The sequence below is a fragment of the Homo sapiens genome, chromosome X (genome assembly GCF_000001405.40).
Source record: "Homo sapiens chromosome X, GRCh38.p14 Primary Assembly".
NCBI lineage: Eukaryota > Metazoa > Chordata > Mammalia > Primates > Hominidae > Homo > Homo sapiens.
This window is the reverse complement of record NC_000023.11, coordinates 80,669,127-80,688,260: the sequence shown is the minus strand read 5'-3', so window position 1 is coordinate 80,688,260 and position 19,134 is coordinate 80,669,127. Positions and strand designations below refer to the sequence as shown.

The window sequence follows — 19,134 nt, the reverse complement described above, 5'->3', positions numbered from 1 at the left end:
CTTTTGTTCTACTTGCTGCTCCAGTGGGGAAAGTTAACTGTGATTTTATTTCCCGTTTATTTGTAAATGTCCATCTAATTTATATGACTTTGAATGTAACTTAACGTCTTTTCCCACTCTTCCTTTTTAATTAAGGATACAGAAATTGTTGATTTAGATTCAGACGGTCCTGGTACTTCATCTGGAAGAAAGGTGAGTAAATAAGTGAACTGCTGAGGAGATATGTTTTCAGGTTTCCTGTGTCAGTGATCCCTAAGACCAACCCCATATTTGGAGAATTGCTAGAAGGATTCTTGCAACTAAGTATATTAGGTATGCTCATTGATAATATTTATTAGAGTGATGCAGTAAGGGTACCCAGTTGAGTCATGGGTGAAAAGACACAGGCAGAGTCTGGAGAAAATTATGTACAGGCTTCCTTATGCTATTATTATCTTTCCCCTGTGAGGGGTCACATATTACACTCTTTTTCCAGCATGTGTGTGATTAGAGACTCAGTCCCCAAAGATTTTACTAGGGGCTGGTTATGTAGGTACCCTCTGACTAGCACGTACTAAGATTCCAGATTCCCAGAAGGAAATCAGGTATTCAGCACAAATCACATTGTTTATACTGTCTAGGTGCAGTAAACTGTCTTAATAATTTAGGAAGCCATTCAAATGCCAAGTTCCCAAATGCCAGCCAAGGGCCAACCTTGCAAGCAAATCCTGGCCTGCTATGTTAACTCTTTTGTGCAGACTTCTGCTCTATAATAATTAGACATGTAGTTATTTTATATAAGGGACAATATATTTTGAAATACTGAAAGAGATCGTAACAAAATCAAATGGTACACAACAGAATTTATCATGACCACAAAGGATTTCTGGGAAAAAAAATCATTCAAGTGTTCTTTTGAGAAAAATATGATGCCATTGTCAAGTATACTTAACTACCGGCAAATATTAAGGCTCTATAACTTGATGTTGTAGAGGAAAGAAGCATTTGTTCCTCTGTACATTATTTGAAGTTCAGATTTGAGTACTAGAATTCTTGCCATTTCCATGAATATAATGTCTAGGTTTTTTTGCTCACTAATTATTTTTGCCAGGGAAAATACTGTCTAATTTAAACTAAGAAACTAAAATAGCAGCTGCCATATATATATATATATATATATACACACATACAGATAGGTATATTAACATTAGGGACTTATGAGAAAATCAACTGAGTTAAGGAAAGATCTTTTAGATATAACTCTATTAAAATCTGTAGGTCAAATGCCGAGGCAGAAGACAGTCTTTAAAGTGTAATCCTGATGCTTGGAAAAAACAATGCAAGGAACTATTGAGCCTCATTTATGAACGTGAAGACTCGGAGCCATTTCGACAGCCAGCTGATCTTCTTTCTTACCCAGTAAGCATACAGTTGTTTAAATAATTGTCAGTATGATAATTTCCCATAAATGTCCATGCTAAAATCTAGATAAGAGCAATTTTCTCACCTCTCCTTTCCTTTCTTTTTTTCCAGTCTTTTGATTGTGAAAGTAGTAGTGTGATTAGTGTGATTTTTAAAAAAATGTAATTGTGTCTTCAGTGTGTAAATTATACAGTTGTAAAACAAAAATTTAAATCAGAATTCATTTGCTGTTCTTTCCGACTTTTATTTCAGACGTTTATTTAATACATTTTACTAACCTCGAATACACCTCTGTACACTGTAGATGTTTGGTGACATGTCAATCCTGTGTAATTTATACTGAATGTGTTATCAATATGGCCACTTAGAGTAACCAGTATACCAGTATGACTTTTCTTTTCTTTACTTTTTTTTAATTTATATATATATATATATTTTATTATACTTTAAGTTCTAGGGTACATGTGCACAACGTGCAGGTTTGTTACATACGTATACATATGCCATGTTGGTGTGTTGGTGTGCTGCACCCATTAACTCGTCATTTACATTAGGTATATCTCCTAATGCTATCCCTCCCCCCTCCCCCAACCCCCAACAGGCTCCGGTGTGTGATGTTCCCCTTCCTGTGTTCAAGTGTTCTCATTGTTCAATTCCCACCTATGCGTGAGAACATGCGGTGTTTGGTTTTTTGTCCTTGAGATAGTTTGCTGAGAATGATGGTTTCCAGCTTCATCCATGTCCCAACCCAAATGTCCAACAATGATAGACTGGATTAAGAAAATGTGGCACATATACACCATGGAATACTATGCAGCCATAAAAAATTATGAGTTCATGTCCTTTGTAGGGACTTTTCTTTTCAATAAAGGTAAAAGGATGAGAACTTTGATTGTAGGATTTCTTTCCTGGGAGTGTATCTATTCATTGAAGTAGTATAGATAGCAAATCTATTTTAACTTTCTCAGAGAAGAGGTACAGCACTATTTTAGAAATACATCAGACCGTCCTATGAGCTTACTACACATTGGTCTTCTCTGTATACTGTAGGTCTCAGTTGGGAAAAAATATCATTCAAGTAAGGAACGAGATTGTGTTCAACAGAACTTGTTTGCTTGTAGGGAATTTGGGTAAAATAAATTAGTCTTGTGTTTTTCATAGCAAAGGAGAATGACGAATGTACAATTCCTTCACCTTAAAGTACAGCCGATAAAACATGATTCCAGTGTATGGATCTTTGAGACTTAAGTCATAATTGTATTACACGTCTTGATATTTTGTTATAGTTGTCTGGAAACCAGTATATGTTCTTCACCCTAATAGGGTCATCAGGAGCAAGAGGGAGAATCCTCAGAGTCTGTTGTTCCAGAAAGACAACAAGATTCATCTCTTTCTGAGGTAGGCCTGGTAGTCTCTTAAAAGACATATTGATTGTTTTTACTTTCTAAACTCTCCATACTGTACATGAATCTTATAGTTTGTAAGGACTGCCTTCTAACTCTGCTCCCCTTTTTACCTTTGTTTGATTTTTTGGTCATTTATTTTTTTGTTCCTCTTTCTGAATCAACATGTGTTCTCAAGACTGTTCTTTGTATCCTCCTTGTAAATGTTTACTTTTTTATGTAGATCTGAAGCTACTGCAGCAGAGTAGAAAACATCAATTACACAATATAATTGTGTCTGTATTGCAGCTGATTATTCCCACTGGGACTTCATTCAGCAAGCAGTCTGAGTCTTTTAAATTTTGGTCATCATACTACACAAGTTCTAACATAAGCCATACTGTGTTAGAATATACTTCTGTTTTTTTATGATTTAAGAAAATAAGATATATTTAGAACGTTTGTCATTTCTTCTCATACTTTGAAAAATATTTTCTCTCTTTTTATAATACCATTTATCTGCCCCTTCTGGCTTTTTGGCTTTTTCCTAGGAGGGAAATGTGGAGATTTTACTTCTTGATGATTCTAAATACAATAAGGGATCTAATACTGAGTATGGTTTTCACTCTGAAACTTGTTTTTGAGGCTTGTAGCATATATAGGAATTAAATATCAGATGTAACTCCATCTGATAACCCTAGGAAAATCTTTACTGGATTTAGGTTAAAATGAAATCTTTCCTCTTCCCTAATCAAAATCAAATGAATTATGGACCTATAAGATGGAAGACCTTCGATGAAGCAAAGGTATCACATTGATTTAAAATCAAGAAGGAGAAAGGCACAAACATGACCAATTTGACCCTGACCCTTAACTAATGACACTTAAGTAGAATGTTCTCATAGCAAGGAATCGTGGAAATATGTGCCTAATTTGTAGAGTGGAACAATTTAATCATATGTGAATAATCCCATCTTTTATCATTAAACAGTGTGCTGGGGTTTTGGAGGTTGTATCAGCCTTTAAGCAAGACATGGAAGCTGTAGAGATGAAGCCAACGGCTATGGATTTTCTATTCTTTACCTTCATAGTTATTTACGGTTATTACTGTGGTGTGAGGGCTAAGGCTTTCCCACAGACTTATGCTGTTTTTATGAGCCACCAAAAGATGTTTTGGGGTTGTGGGGAGGTAGTTGGCACATTGAAAAGCAATGTGTTTATTTCATGGTGGATCGTAGTAGGTGATACCAATTTTAGTCCCATTGTATTCCTTAATATTGCTATACAGTATTTAATAACACATTCTTCTTTGTAGGATTATCAAGATGTTATAGATACTCCTGTGGACTTCAGCACTGTGAAAGAAACTTTGGAAGCAGGAAACTATGGTAGTCCTCTGGAATTTTATAAGGATGTTCGCCAAATATTCAACAACTCCAAAGCTTATACCTCTAATAAAAAGTCAAGGGTATGATTATTAGTTGGGTTAATTATCAGGCAGTTTTCTTTAACCAGTTACTGAAAATTGGTCCTCAGTATCTTTTTTGAAACATGGATTGCTTGTTAGGCATGCATAAAGATACATTTAGCAGTCATTCTGAAATTAACCACCTTTTCCTTTCTCTTATTTGTCTCTTTACTCTTTAGTAATAAATATTTATAGGTACCAGAGAAAAAACAAGGAGAGGAGAGGTAGTAATTTAAGTACACTTTAATATAATAAGTGACTTAATAAATAGAAAGGTGATTGACAGTGTTGATTTATGTGAAATATTTTTATTAGCTCTGAACATGTATGTTCCATTTATTCTAACAAATAATGAACCATCTTGGGAAGTTGTAACTGCTTATTTATACTCACATTTAATATCTTCCCTATTTTTGTCAGAACTTAAAGTATATTGAGAATAGAAAAATAGTAATCAAGTTTTTCTTTTGAAATCACTGGTATCTGATTAGCTTTTAATCAGTTGCACAGTAAATATATATTTGCCTACTTCCACTTTATGGAAAATGCATTTCCACTAATTTCTGCAAACATAATTTGTTTACACTTGCTTCCCCCTCCCCCTTGATCCTGATTGCTAGAGTAACATTTTCTATAGAAAGTTTGGGAAACACAGAAGTATAAAGAAGAAAACAAAAATCACCTGTGAAACCTATCACCTATTTTTACTTACAGTTACTGTTTACTTCCAGGATTTTCTACATTAACACATATATCTACATATGCTTATAAATTCTTTAAAATAGTGGATTTCGTATTTTGAAGCATTTTTTGTTACTTAAGTGTTATGAATGTTTTCCTGTATCTCATGACTCTTTGAAAACAAGGTTTTTAATGGTATTCTGTTGTGTGGTTGTTTTATGTTATACTAACCAGTGTTCTTTGGCTAGGGATTTAGGTTGTTTCCAGTTATCCATTTTACATGAATAATGCTATAGGTAATATCTTTAACATTATTGAATATATTTTTTATGTATATAATTCTGTGATATTTCCTTAGGACAAATTCCCAGAAGTAAAATTACTAGCCAAAGGATGTGTGTATCTTTAAGGTTTTTTTGTACAGACTGCATATTGTCCTTTAGAATGCTGTTTCAGTTTACATTCTCTCTTGCATTGTATCAGAGTCTTTTTTTCCCTACCTTTTAGAACATTGAATACTATATTTGAAAAACATTTATTTTAGGTGAAAATGGTATCTTACTTTAGTTATTTGAGAAGAATTTTTCAAGTGAACAGATATTTTGTCTGTAATGATGATGCTTAATATTGGTCTAGGCATGTTTATACCTTTTTTTAAAATATAAAACTAGTTAAGACTATATAATTTCTGCCTTCTCAGATCTATAGCATGATGCTGCGATTATCTGCCTTATTTGAAAGTCATATCAAAAATATCATCTCTGAATATAAGTCAGCAATCCAGAGTCAGAAGAGGAGAAGGCCACGGTACAGAAAACGTCTAAGAAGCAGCAGCAGTTCATTATCTAGTAGTGGAGCACCTAGGTATCATTACATTGATGCAACATTTTTTGTTCTCAAAGCATTTTGTATGTATTACCTAATTTGTGAAAGTTTATGAATAATTTGGGGAGATCCCAAGAGGTCTTTTTTTGTTTGTTTCCTAAACTCTTATGCCTATGTAGAGTTAGTAATCAAAAGTACTATTTATGTGGGTTTTACTATCCCAGAAACTTTTTTTAAATTTTAATGATTGAAGTTTCACTGTCAAATTATCTATTTCATGAATTTTAGGGCATTTCTTCTTTGGCCAGCTAATACCTGACCTTGATACCTCTTTGTATCATACTGTCTATCATAATATGTTGCTAACAGAAAAAAAAAAATGCTCGTTGTTACATATTTTTACTTCTAGTCCAAAAGGGAAGCAGAAACAAATGAAGTTGCAGCCTAAAAATGACCAGAATACCTCAGTATCTCATGCCAGGACTAGCTCTCCTTTCTCATCTCCTGGTAAATATGTCTTTTGTTTTTGGTGTTCTGCATCTCGGTTTAATTCTGATATTAAGGATATAGAAGAGGCAGCATGGTTTATAGTGCAAAGAACAATGGATTTAGATTTTTAAAAGTTGTGCTTTATTCCCAATTCTACTTGCTAGTTTTGTGTCCCTGAGTATGACATTAGGCCATATGATTCCTTTTCTTTATTAGACTACATGAAAAGTCTCTTAGTTTTAAAATTTTATGATTAAATGATGCCTATAATATCTCAGAGCACTTATCTACAATATATTTACCAACATAATATTTGAAAATTTATGATGAGCAATTGGACAAGTTTTTCTGACATTCAACCCTTTGTTCTCAAAATATTCATATCATTTTCTTAGAGAAACTTATAATTTTGGTGTTAGAATAAAATAACAGAGATATGGTTTCAAAAAGTAGCCTGTTTAACTTTCCTGAAAACATGATAATTATGTTAGTATTAAAATCTTTTAAAATGTAAGTTTCAGATGCTGCTGAAGGGCTTTCACTATATCTACTTGATGATGAGCCAGATGGGCCATTTTCTTCATCGAGCTTCGGTGGATATAGCCGAAGTGGAAATAGCCATGACCCAGGGAAAGCCAAATCATTTCGGAATAGAGTTTTGCCAGTTAAACAAGGTAGGAAATAAATACAGGACAAGACATTTATTATTTATTTCTTTATGATAGCAGATAAATCATTTAAAAGCTGACATGTTGACATACTAAAAACTAGTATATCCTTATAGTTAATGAGAATTCTGTCACATATGAGTCAGATGGCATTTCATATTCATAACTGGGAACAGGCCATTAGCAGATTTCCAATAGCTATTTTCAAATGTATTTTAGTCTTAAAACGTAAAATGGGGCCAGGCGTGGTGGCTCACACCTGTAATCCCAGCACTTTAGGAAGCTGAGGTGGGAGGATCACTTGAGGCCAGGAGATCGAGATCAACCTGGACAACAAAGCAAGACCTAATCTCTACAAAAAAAAAAAAAAAAAAAAAGTAGCCACATGTGGTGGCATACAACTCATACCTACTCGGGAAGCTGAGGTGGGAGGAGCGCTTTAGCCAGGAGTAGGAGACTACAGTGAGCTGTGATTGTGCCACTGCACTCCAGCCCGTGTGACAGAGTGAGACTCTGTCTCAAAAATAAATAAATAAAATAAAAGGAATTGGGAGAAAAAAACTAAATGAAGAGTTCTTTCCCCAAGCACATGAAGACACATTTAGGATTTTTCATATTTTTCATATTAATAAGAAAGGAGAGTTTCCAAAGTCATCTTTAAATAGGTCTCATATTTTTGTGGCCCACTGCAGTAAAAATATGAGTCTGGGCTGAGAAATGAGCCTTCTTTCAGTCAATAACCGCTTCTACCACCTTCCTTAAGGTTTTCCAGTTATGTAAGTCAGATATCCTCTTCCTTAGGGGCCTGCTATATCACAAAGTCAGTGGTTTTCAGACTGTGCCCTGCCCATTTCTGGGGCATCCACAAAAGTACTTCAGGCATTCTCAGAAGAACCTTCTGCATTTAACCAGACAGTTCTGTTTGTTATTTCATATAAGGAGATGCTATTTTACTTTTTATTAGGAGAAAAATGTTCACTGCTTAAAAAGAAACACTGACCTAATTCATTATGTGCGTCTATCTTGGACCATACAAGGGACATCAATTATCATAAATATTTGAAGTTTATTGTTACTCAAACTTTCTTCTTATACTTAGGCCTATATTAGGGACCTTGAATGTATTTAGAGAAAGTTCTAACATGTTCAGCTATTTGAAGTTTGTGAAGAATAGTTAATATGCTTTTACAAATAATTTTATTAGAATATAGATTTTATTTTATATACATTTTAATGCAAGATTAAGTAGCTTATCCATTGTTATTTAACCATCAAATAACTTAAAAATAGGCTTTTCTGAAGATATTTTATAGTGGCTATGTAAGAAATGTTGAAACATATTTGATTACTTGAAAATAATTAGTGCCTTTGTTTTTCCCAGTTTACATCTTTAGTGTCTCCTCTGATCTTGCATACTTATGCCATTGCCTTTTTTCATTTTACCCTTCCTTCCACTGCCAAGATTAACCCATGCTTCCTTCATCTATTTTGTTTTTCCCATCCACAGAGTCGTTTATCCTTTATAGTACGGTGTCTGTCCCGACCACCCTTCAAAAGCTGTTCTCACATTCATCAGTACTCTTCAGTGGCCAACTAGCGTCTTTTTTTAGTTTCAATCTCTATATCATTGCATGTTGTTGACTACCTTCTCTATGAACTCTACTTGTAAGCTTCTATACTCTATTGATTAGCTTATATCTCTTATTTCTGTTTCTTCTCTTTGACTCTACTGCTCTGTATTTGCAGTTTGCCACTGTTTTTTGCTTGTTTTTGTCTTCCACAAATAAAGGATTCTAATGACTGCATCCGTCATCTTGATGTGATGACTCTCCAAATGCATATGCAGAGCTTAAATATCTCTTTATTCTATTAGAATAATTTCCAAGTGCTTCCTTAAAAAATAAAAAAATAAAAATATTCGGTTGCTTATCTTCGCATCTCAAACTTGCTTCTTTTTCTGTGCTCACTATTTTAGTTAATGGCATAACCATCTTTCTTGCCACCCAGCTTAAAATCTCACAGTGTTTTTTGACTCTTCATTTATCCCTCATACCTAGTCAGTTGCCAAGTTTTGTGGATTCCACAACTCTTTAATACCACTTAAATCTTCTATATAGTTTCTACTGCTATCACCTTAGTCTCCAGCCTGAAGTATTAGTCAGCTTGGGTTTCCATAACAAGATACCACAGACTGGGTGGCTTAAACAGCAGACATTCATCTTCTCACAGAGCTGGAGGCTCAGTCCATTGTGAAAGTGCCATATGGGTGGGTATCTGATAAGGGCTTTTTCCCTGGCTTCTATATGTCCACCTTCTTGCTTTGTCCTCACGTGGCCTTGCCTCTACAGAGAGACAGAGGGAAATACCTCTAGTATCTCTTCCTTTTCCTTTAAGAACATCAGTCCTGTTGAGTTATAGTCCCACCCATATAACCTCATTTAACCTTAATTACCTCCCTAAATGCCCTAATCTCCAACTGCAGTCACTTCGGGGATTAGGGCTTCCACATATGAATTTTGAAGGGACACAATTCAGTCCATAACACCCAGACTTATTAGGTTAATCTTGTAATTATCTACAGCCCTAGTCTTCTTTTCAATTCTTCCAGTCTGCTCTCTTGTTTCCTACCGACCCCACTGGCTGGTCCTCCATTTTCTTTGTTGGTTCTTCTTTATCTTTAAATGTTTGAACATCTCAAGTCTCAGTCTTCAGCCACGTTGTCTCTCTTTACTTACTCACTCAGTGAGCTCTCCTAGTTCTCATTACCCTAAATATTATCTCTTTACTGAAAATTTCCGCAATTATATCTCCAGCTCTACCCTCTCCCCTGAGCTCCAGACTGGTATATCTACCTGCTCTTTATTTCTTTTTTTTAAAAAAATGTCTTGTCTTGGATCTCTGTCAACATCTAAAATGGAATCTTGAGCCCTGCTCAAACCTGTTGCTCCTTCAGTGTTCTCTACCTTGGCAAAATATCTCTACCATTCACCCAGTTGCTTTGGCCATAAAACCTAGGAGTCAGTCTTCATTCTGTGCTTGACACTTGACATATAGTCTGTCAGCAAGTCCCATCAGTTCAACCTTTGAAATTAAAGGTTTCTCTAGAAGGAAATATTCCAAATATAATCACTTATCATCACATCTATTGACATATCCTTTGTCATGTCTTACCTAGAATACTGCAGTGGATGCCCAACTGGTCTCTCCTTCCACTTTCAGTCTTGCCTCCCCTGTGATCTTTTTTATATACAGCAACCATACTATTTTAAAAGTGTAAATCAGATTCTTTCTCCAGCTTAAAACTCTCCACTGGCACTCATCTCCTACTACTCACTGTTTTTCTATTCCACTCTGGTTATACTGGCTTGCTTTCTGTTCCCTCCTCTGGAATGTTCTTTCCCTACATCTGACTTCATTCAGTTATTTCTTCTAATACTACCTCTGTAGAGAAGTCTTCCCTATCTAAAATACATTCCCTTCTACACATATACACTCTTTTTTTAATCCTCTTTATAACATGTCTGTGTGAAATTTTATTATTAATTTATTCACTTTGTTATCTTTCAAGGTATTCCCACTAAAATATAAATTCCAACAGCAAGGACTGTCCCTTTCATTGCCGTATTCAAAGCTTCTAGCAATGCCTTGCTAATAGTAGATAATGAATAAGAATTTATCAACCGAATGAATGAAACTATACTAATTAGTGTTCTCAGGTAATTCTTCCTGAAGTAGGCCCTTAAAACTTCTGCCTAAACCTCATGGCCATCATTCCACCCCCATATTCTCCTCCCTCTCCCAAAAAAGCAGACAAAAATAAACACTTTAATATCTTCTATTTTGAAGAAATTTAAGTTCTTAGTCTGACACCCTCCATGATTGTATTCCACATATTTTTGGGAACTGTAGACTGTTTTTGAACCTAAATAACCATTTTGTCAATGTCAAAGCTTAACTATTAAAAATCATTCATTTTAATTTAGATCACTCCCTTGATGGACCCCTTACAAATGGTGATGGCAGAGAGCCCCGGACAGGAATCAAGAGAAAACTACTTAGTGCATCAGAAGAAGATGAAAACATGGGAGGAGAAGATAAAGAGAAAAAAGAAACAAAAGAGAAATCTCATTTATCCACCTCAGAGAGTGGAGAGTTAGGATCCAGTTTAAGTTCTGAAAGTACCTGTGGTTCTGACTCTGACTCTGAATCAACTTCCAGAACAGATCAAGATTACGTAGATGGAGACCATGATTATAGCAAATTCATACAAACCAGACCTAAAAGAAAACTCAGAAAGCAACATGGCAATGGAAAAAGAAATTGGAAGACCAGAGGCACAGGAGGAAGAGGCAGATGGGGAAGATGGGGTAGATGGAGTAGAGGAGGCAGAGGAAGAGGAGGCAGGGGACGAGGGAGTCGAGGAAGAGGTGGAGGTGGCACTAGGGGGAGGGGAAGAGGGAGAGGAGGAAGAGGTGCTTCTAGAGGAGCTACCAGAGCCAAACGAGCACGTATTGCAGATGATGAATTTGATACCATGTTTTCAGGACGTTTCAGTAGACTGCCTCGAATTAAAACAAGAAACCAAGGCAGGAGGACTGTTTTATATAATGATGATTCTGATAATGACAATTTTGTGTCCACTGAGGATCCTCTGAATCTTGGTACATCCAGATCAGGCAGAGTGCGTAAAATGACAGAAAAAGCCAGGGTTAGCCATCTCATGGGATGGAATTATTAACAGTTAATAAATTTAGAATAACTTAAAAAATTCAATGGCCTTCTACTGCAGGGAATTTACCAGGAAATCTACAAAGCAAGTTGTGTGGGGACTTCTGCTTCCTTTCACATTGGTGCTTTTCCATTTATGCCAGTATACATTTGTTTCAAGACTTTTGATCTCCACACTTCATTTGTTCAAATAAGCCTTACTCATTAGGCCTTAAATTAAAAGAAATTCTGCCCACACACACACAAACACATACACACACATACACACACACAGACACACACACACGAAACACAACACAGACACTACAGATTTACTACATTAAAGGAGCATTCAGCTTCTTAAGAGTAGCATGACATTTTTATCTCAATAGAATAGCCCTCTTTTGCTTTTGTATCACAGAAGTATAGCACCTTCTTACAGAGTTTTATATAGTTTGTTTTTGCCATTTTGATTCCTATACCCAGTAATAATAACTTTTGCACAATACACCAATCCTAAAGGCAGCTATTAAATGTTTACAGTTTCTATATTGTAAGAGCGATCTGGATTATTTTACTCTTCCCAGGCCAAACTTTCATGACTTGTACTGAACTGAAGTATATATTTATACTACAGTTTTTTGGGGGGTGGGGGGATCTTGATATGCTTTTCATTGATTTGCATAATTCACGTTAAAGGTGAGAAAGGGTTGGTGCCTTGTAAATATGTAGCAGATCTTCGTGGTGTGTTCTGATGTGTGCATTAACTTTATTAAAAAAGAATACTTGAGGTATCAATCTAGACAAGGTGCCAAATGCAAAAGTTTCCCGCATCAATTTTTTTCCTATCACATTTTATTGCATTAATAGAATTTGTGTAGCTTAAATAACTTAAACATTTGAAAAATCCTCATCCACAAAGAACAACTTCTTTGAACAGTAGCTCAGCTACCTCTTAACTACAACTACTGGAAACATTAAGGAAAATAGATGCTGTTATTCCTTACTGACTAAGGAGAAATAGAACAAGCTTAGTAGGAATGAATACCCCATAAGTTATAAGCTGAGAGGTTGTTAATAATTGTATTGGCTCTCAAATTAATAATTGTAATTAACAAAGTTTCATAAATATAGTATGCTCTACCACCTTAGGCTTTCTTAGAACATATTTGTGTAAGTAGACTTGGGCTACTGCTTATATATTTCTGCTCCACTTACCATTTAACAGCTGTGAGTTGCTGGTTTTCATTTGAATCTTAAAATTTAACAAAGCACCTGGTTTGATTTGGAATGTTTTGGCTAGCTAGTATTATGAATCAACTTATAGATTCTGCTCATATCATTCCAAAGGGTTCTTCTGTTCTAGTCTTTCAGGAAAGAACCTTATTGCACTGCACACTCATGTTGTGAATCATTATTTTATAGATAAAAAACATCTTTAAAAACCCTTATTGTCTTGTTTACAGCAGTAGAGTGCACATGGTTCCATAAGTGAGCTTGAGTTCCAAGGTCAGTTTTACTCCCCAAATTTAATATTACAGATTTGTTCATTTGTTAGATACTTACATTTCTGAGGTAAGAGGGATAATAGCAATTTCTGTTTCTGTAACAGCAAATTTGTTGCACTTAGATCAGGCTCATGGGATAAAACAGACTTCTTAGTATATACCTAGCTATCCCAGGATATTTCTTAAGCTAATGTGTTTGTCTCATGCTTTCAATCATTTCATGCATCTGAAAACCCTTAAGTGCAGAGGAAGGCGTACACACATAAAACTTTGCTTTTTTGGTAGGGTCGGCAGTAGGGTTATTCTTGGACTAACATCTTTAAGCAGTTTTCACTTGCAGTGGAAATGATGTTCAGGCTTTAAGAGAAAGTATTGTGAATTGTTAATGGCACTAACTTCTGTTACTAGACAGCAGACCAAGCTATTTTTTTGTTGTAGTCTTTTTTTCACTAAACCAAAACTACTTCTGGTTGTAACTCAGCTGCCACTTTAAACCATAGTAGAGATTCAAAACGTTCCTATTTGAAACTACATTTGATTTTTGCTAAAATGTGCTGTTTCGGTTATTTATCTCTTGGGCATTTAGACTAAATTGTGCCTGTATTCCTGAAATCAATAATACTTTGGCTTATCCTGATCTAAGTAACATAGTTACTTAAATTCCTGGATATACCCAAATATGGATCACATGTATCATTTTAGTTTGAAATTTTTTGTTGACATTCTTCTATGAAGAGCTGACCTCTTGAAATGTAGAAGAATTGACATTTGTGTGATTTTGGCTATCTGGAGCTTTATTTATAATTTATTTTGAAAAATAAAAATGCCACATTTATTTCCCAAATGTCAAGATTTTCTAGAATTAGATAATTAGAATAATAAGGCTGAAGACATTTTAAAGCATATTTTATATGTAGTGAAATACTGTGAAAATATTAGTGAACAGCATTTTGCTGTAATGTTTATTTCAGTTATTAAGATTTAAAGAGTTAGTCATCAGGGTATGTTAGATAAACATAGTTATCATTTATTAAACAAACAGATAATTTTCTGTTTGCATGCAAATTATTTTAATAAGTGTGAAAATAAAAGTTTGGAAGATAGTATTTTTACTTTTATATCTGGACTTTTTTTTCCCCCAATTTACACTTTGCTTTCTTGTAATACCACCTCCTGTGAATGTGTTGTAATTAGTATCACATTGATTACTTTATCATTTTAATTTCTTTGAGGCCCTTTAAACCTACGTAAAATCTGGGTCCAGCCATAGCAAAGCAAGTACAAAATGAACAAAGAATTTTGAAGAAAAGCCTAAATCTTAAATTGCTAAGAAAAAACACTGTTATATTTAGGCCCGTGAGAGCATATACATGTATAAACCTAATCCTATGCTAGATATGAATAGTCAGTGAGCTGTAATATTTCTCATAAATGCTAATAATGTTTAAATTCCCAGCTTTAAGATCTTAGTGTGTGTATATATTTATAAAATCTGAATTGTGTGTTTCTTCTATGGCTTACTGTGTGTTTCTCTTTCAGCAATAGGATGCTCTCTAAAACATTCACTAGCCTACTAGCCTACTTACTAAATTTTTGTATATGTGTGTTTGTGCACTTGTATGTGTGTAAAGTTTTTTCCCCAACTTGACACACCTTATCTCAGACATTCAAAAAAAGAGAACATTTTGTATGGAGGACAGTCTGCCAACTTTTTGCCTCTCTACAGCTCTTAGCCTGTATATTTACTGCTTGATCATTCATTATGCCTTCTAGATAACCAGTCCAGGTTTTGTCATATACCTGTGTCCCTCTATTCTTTTTATTTCCCTTTTTAATTTTTTTTCTTTTTTTTCCCTCCCCAGAAATCAGGCTTGTGTTGGAATTCTTCTCTATAATACTTTGTTTCCCGCAGATGCAAAGTAACAAAGTAACTGAGTAAAATTAGAAATCTCATTCTGCACAACTGTGCGCTCAGATATTTAACTCAGCCTTCTAATACTTTTAAGTACGTTTCTGTTATTTATCTTTTTGTTGTTTTTGTTTTAATCCCATAGATTGTCATCAGACAATAATAGAGTGATTGAGAGAGAAAGATATAAATGCCACTTCTAACTTTTTGATAAAACTTTTTTGAGCATTTTTCAAAAATTTGTATGTTTGTGGTAATGGGGAATTAAACACCTTTTACAGCTGATGTATGTTGGAAATCATTTTATGTACATTTACCAACTGGTACTTATCTTCAAGTTGGAATTTTCACATCCATAAAAGGGAGACTTGCATCATATATAATTTTCAGTATACTTTGCTGTCCAGCCTTTTAAACAATTACAGTAACATTTTGAGTTCTGTGATGAATAGTTCTAGGGGAAGGGATGGAACTTTCGACATGTAAAGTCCATTGTTTTAAATGCTAACCCCATCCCCAATATTTTTGTGGAACGTGAGGCTTTATGAAAGGTTTATCAGAAATAGAATATTCTAAAGTCACTTTTATGGCTTATTTCAAAAACTAGTGTGAAAGTATTTTCATGCTTTTTTGTTTCTCATCTTTTAGCAAAGCTTCTTTACCAAGTTTTGATTAAATTGCAATATAAAATTAAGTTTTTTCACGGTGCTATATTTTGTGGAATATGGGTAGCACTCAGGTTTCTTTCTTTTTTCTTTTCTCCTTCCTTCTTCCTTCATTCCTTCATTCCTCCCTCCCCCCTCCCTCCCTCCCTCTCTTCCTTCCCTCCTTCCTTCCTTCCTCACCTCGGCCTCCCAAAGTGCTGGGATTACAGGCATGAGCCACCGTGCCCGGCCTATATACCCTTATTCTTGATTATTTCTTTTTTCATCTTTTCAATCCTGCTTACTTTTATCCTCACTTTTCTTTCTGCCATGAAAACTGCACCTAATTTACCACACTTAAGATTGGCAATTTTTGATTCATTGATGGGAGAAGTACAGTAGAAAGGCCCTGCAGTTTAGAATTAAGTTGTGTTTGTTTATTTACATGTATGCCCATTTCTTCTAAATTAAATCTAGAATGTGAGACTTTGACATATAAAAGCATGATAAGTATTTTCTTAAAAAATAAGACTATTGATACATAATGAAACCACCATTGGTAATTGAATTTTAAAATGATATGCAAAAATATTTAGAAATCCAGTTGGGAAATGTGTTTTTGCATATGTCACCAGATACACATTAGGCAGTACTACAAATGTTAATTCTTAAACAATACTGTGGTGATGGCAATCAGTAATTTATTTCTTTGTCCTGTAACTTATCATTCTTGTCTTTTGTAATGTCTTACACAGTATTAACATAACTGTACCTTTTTTTTGTTCTTGGTATCCATACATTTTAAGATGGAAAATCAGTTCATAGTTGATATGATATTGTATATGGGCAAAATGTCCGTTAAACTAAAATTCAGTAAAAAAGGTAATATAAACTGGCTTGATTTATAAAAGATGTTTTGTTTGGCAGTTATCAGTCATTATAAGCAATTATCTTCAAAGACAAAAAAACTGGACTAATTTGTTGCCATTCTTTATGGGATGTTTACAATAAAATTCCAAGTTGTTTGGAATCAATTGCACTCTTGCTGCTTTATGCCTTAATTTATGTACCAGAGAAAAATTAACCAGAAGAAAGAAATATGGAGTTACCTATTCAGCTTTAGAGATTGTAACATGTAACTCTTAGGTCTTTCTTGTTTCTTTGTCATAGAATATTTTATTACTATTACTTTTTAATCTGAGAAACTAGGATGCTTCTTCCTATCAAAGAAAAGGTTTTGTTTTTTGTTTTCATCTTAGACATTGCAAATATTCTTTGGGTCACTTTTAGGATAATAAATATGATGTTTACACTTTAAATGTGGGCTGCTTGGTGCATTCAATAACAGCCTGCAAAGCATTTGTCAACATTTTGTTTTGCAGAGCTTTTCAAAATGAATAGATCTCTAACATATTTATGACTTACAACTTTTAACAGCTGAGTTATATGTACCTGACATTTTAAAATGTATAGTAAGATTACCTACATTGTAAATGGTGCTTTAATTCAGTGTAAGTGTAGGAGAGAGAGAAGTGAGGTGAGATGATCTGAATGCTCTAACAGGAACATTCATAACTATATAGTTACCCAGAATTTGTCTCCCAGTGGCAAACATTCCACTAGGTTCAAGATAAATAAGCTGGCCAAAGACTGGACTGTATCTTTGATATATATATACTGTGTATTTTGTGTATTTAGAATAAAAAAAATGCATTTAGGAAAAAAGTAGACTGATTTTTTACAATATTCAGAGATTGAAGTGGAGATAAGTTGTTTGGTATTTTTGTTTAGTTGCTTAATTGGTTAGAGATAGCCCTCTTTAAGGATATAAAAATCTTACATTAAAAATTTTTGGTTAAGGCCAGGCACAGTGACTCACGTTTATAATCTCAGCATTTTGGGAAGCCATGGTGGGAGGATTATTTGAGCCCAGGAGTTCAAGACCAGCCTGGGCAGCATAGTGAGACACCGTATCTACAAAACAATTTTTTTTTTAATTAGCTGGGCATGGTTGTGTGTGCCTGTAAGTCCCAGGTACTTGGGAGACAGGTGGGAGGATCACTCGAGCCTGGGAGGTCAAGGCTGCAGTGAGCTGTGATCATGCCACTGCACTCCAGCCTGGGGATCCATTTTTTTTCCAAGTTGAGAAGGTCAAGAAAAAGGTGCTCTCCATCCTCTCTCAATTATATGTTCTTGACAATTTAAAGCTACTTTACCAAAATGTGCAAAATAAAACCAATATATTGAGCCTGTGAGTTGATCTTTTGAATGAGATTTTTGGTGGGATAGTTAAGCCTATACGCTTACAGTTGCTTTCTCAGGTCATTTATATAAATACTTAAGGGCTTTTTAATGCTACAAAACACAGGTAGATCAAACAATAATATTAAATGAAGTAAACTTTTTACGGTATCGATTTTTCCCCCAAAGTTCTAGGGAAACATTTTCCTTTCCTTTCTATGTAACTTTAATAGATTTTTCTTTGCCATCTGTGACAATTGCCTTAATGAAGTTCTTATCTACAGATTATAAACATCTAATTATAATTATAAAATCTTATAATTTTAATTATTCTAGACATCTAGTTTTAACAGTTATTAATTAACAAATTGATATTTAATTTGATGTTGGAGACCTAAAAGTCTTTCTGAATCTAGTATTAATTTTGAATTGCCACCTTGCCTGGTCAGCATCTTTGCAGTTCTCTTCAATTTTATAAGTTTTGTAAGTAAATATATGAAGAAATAAAAACATTTTAAATTCTTTAATTTAGGTGACTAATATTAATTGATGGAGCTTATTCATTTTTAAGGATTTTTGTGGTTGATTTTTGTCATGTTGCAATTCTAGTTAGAATTTGTATAACAACATGTTAATTTGTATTGGCAATTTTGTATAGTCTGTTAAGTAATTTAAGTCAAGGAAACTGCTAACGTGTTCCCTCCTCCCTTGGCTTTTAAAAAAAAGCTTACAATATGTTTAAATGAAATTTGCATAACAAATTGTGTAATAGATCATTTGAAAAGTACTGTTTTGTTACCCTTGAGTATTATTCATCTAAAATATTAATAATGAAGTGCTGGTAGTTCTGAATTATTTCCGTACGTTTAATTTATAAATTAGATTCAGTATTGTTTATAAAACAAGTGTTTTTGTCTAGTCTGACCCTATAGAGCAAAAAATATGCCCATGATATCCTCATAGTCATGAAATTACCAAGTAATCCTTTTACTTTTGTAGATTTGTGTTCATTTTTATTCTAAATGTGGTTAGTCGTTTTCATAAGAAAAAGAAGTTACTAAAACAAAACAGTAGTTGAAGGTTGTGGTACATACATTTTTGCTTTCCGTTTTTTTCAAAAATTTAAGACTGCTGAACACAACGACAAGTTTTTAACACTAAAAATACCTTTTATAAGTTTGCTTGTAAGTATTCAAGCAGAAATTCTCAGA

At 34.3% G+C, this 19,134-nt stretch overlaps 1 protein-coding gene across 4 annotated transcripts in view; it reads left to right on the top strand.

The window, feature by feature from the left end:
- BRWD3 (bromodomain and WD repeat domain containing 3) overlaps positions 1-18,758 on the top strand; it is a 140,375-nt gene extending 121,617 nt beyond the window's left edge. For 3 of the 4 annotated variants that reach the window (NM_001441339.1, NM_153252.5, XM_017029384.2), the window contains 8 exons: positions 136-192; positions 1,258-1,398; positions 2,725-2,799; positions 4,099-4,251; positions 5,633-5,796; positions 6,167-6,264; positions 6,762-6,920; positions 10,898-18,758. In NM_001441339.1, coding sequence (NP_001428268.1) covers positions 136-192; positions 1,258-1,398; positions 2,725-2,799; positions 4,099-4,251; positions 5,633-5,796; positions 6,167-6,264; positions 6,762-6,920; positions 10,898-11,652 — 1,602 coding nt within the window. In that variant the 3' untranslated portion in view covers positions 11,653-18,758. Of the gene's footprint in view, positions 1-135; positions 193-1,257; positions 1,399-2,724; positions 2,800-4,098; positions 4,252-5,632; positions 5,797-6,166; positions 6,265-6,761; positions 6,921-10,897 lie in introns of those variants that run through there. The other variant, XM_047441957.1, reaches the window with a different exon arrangement.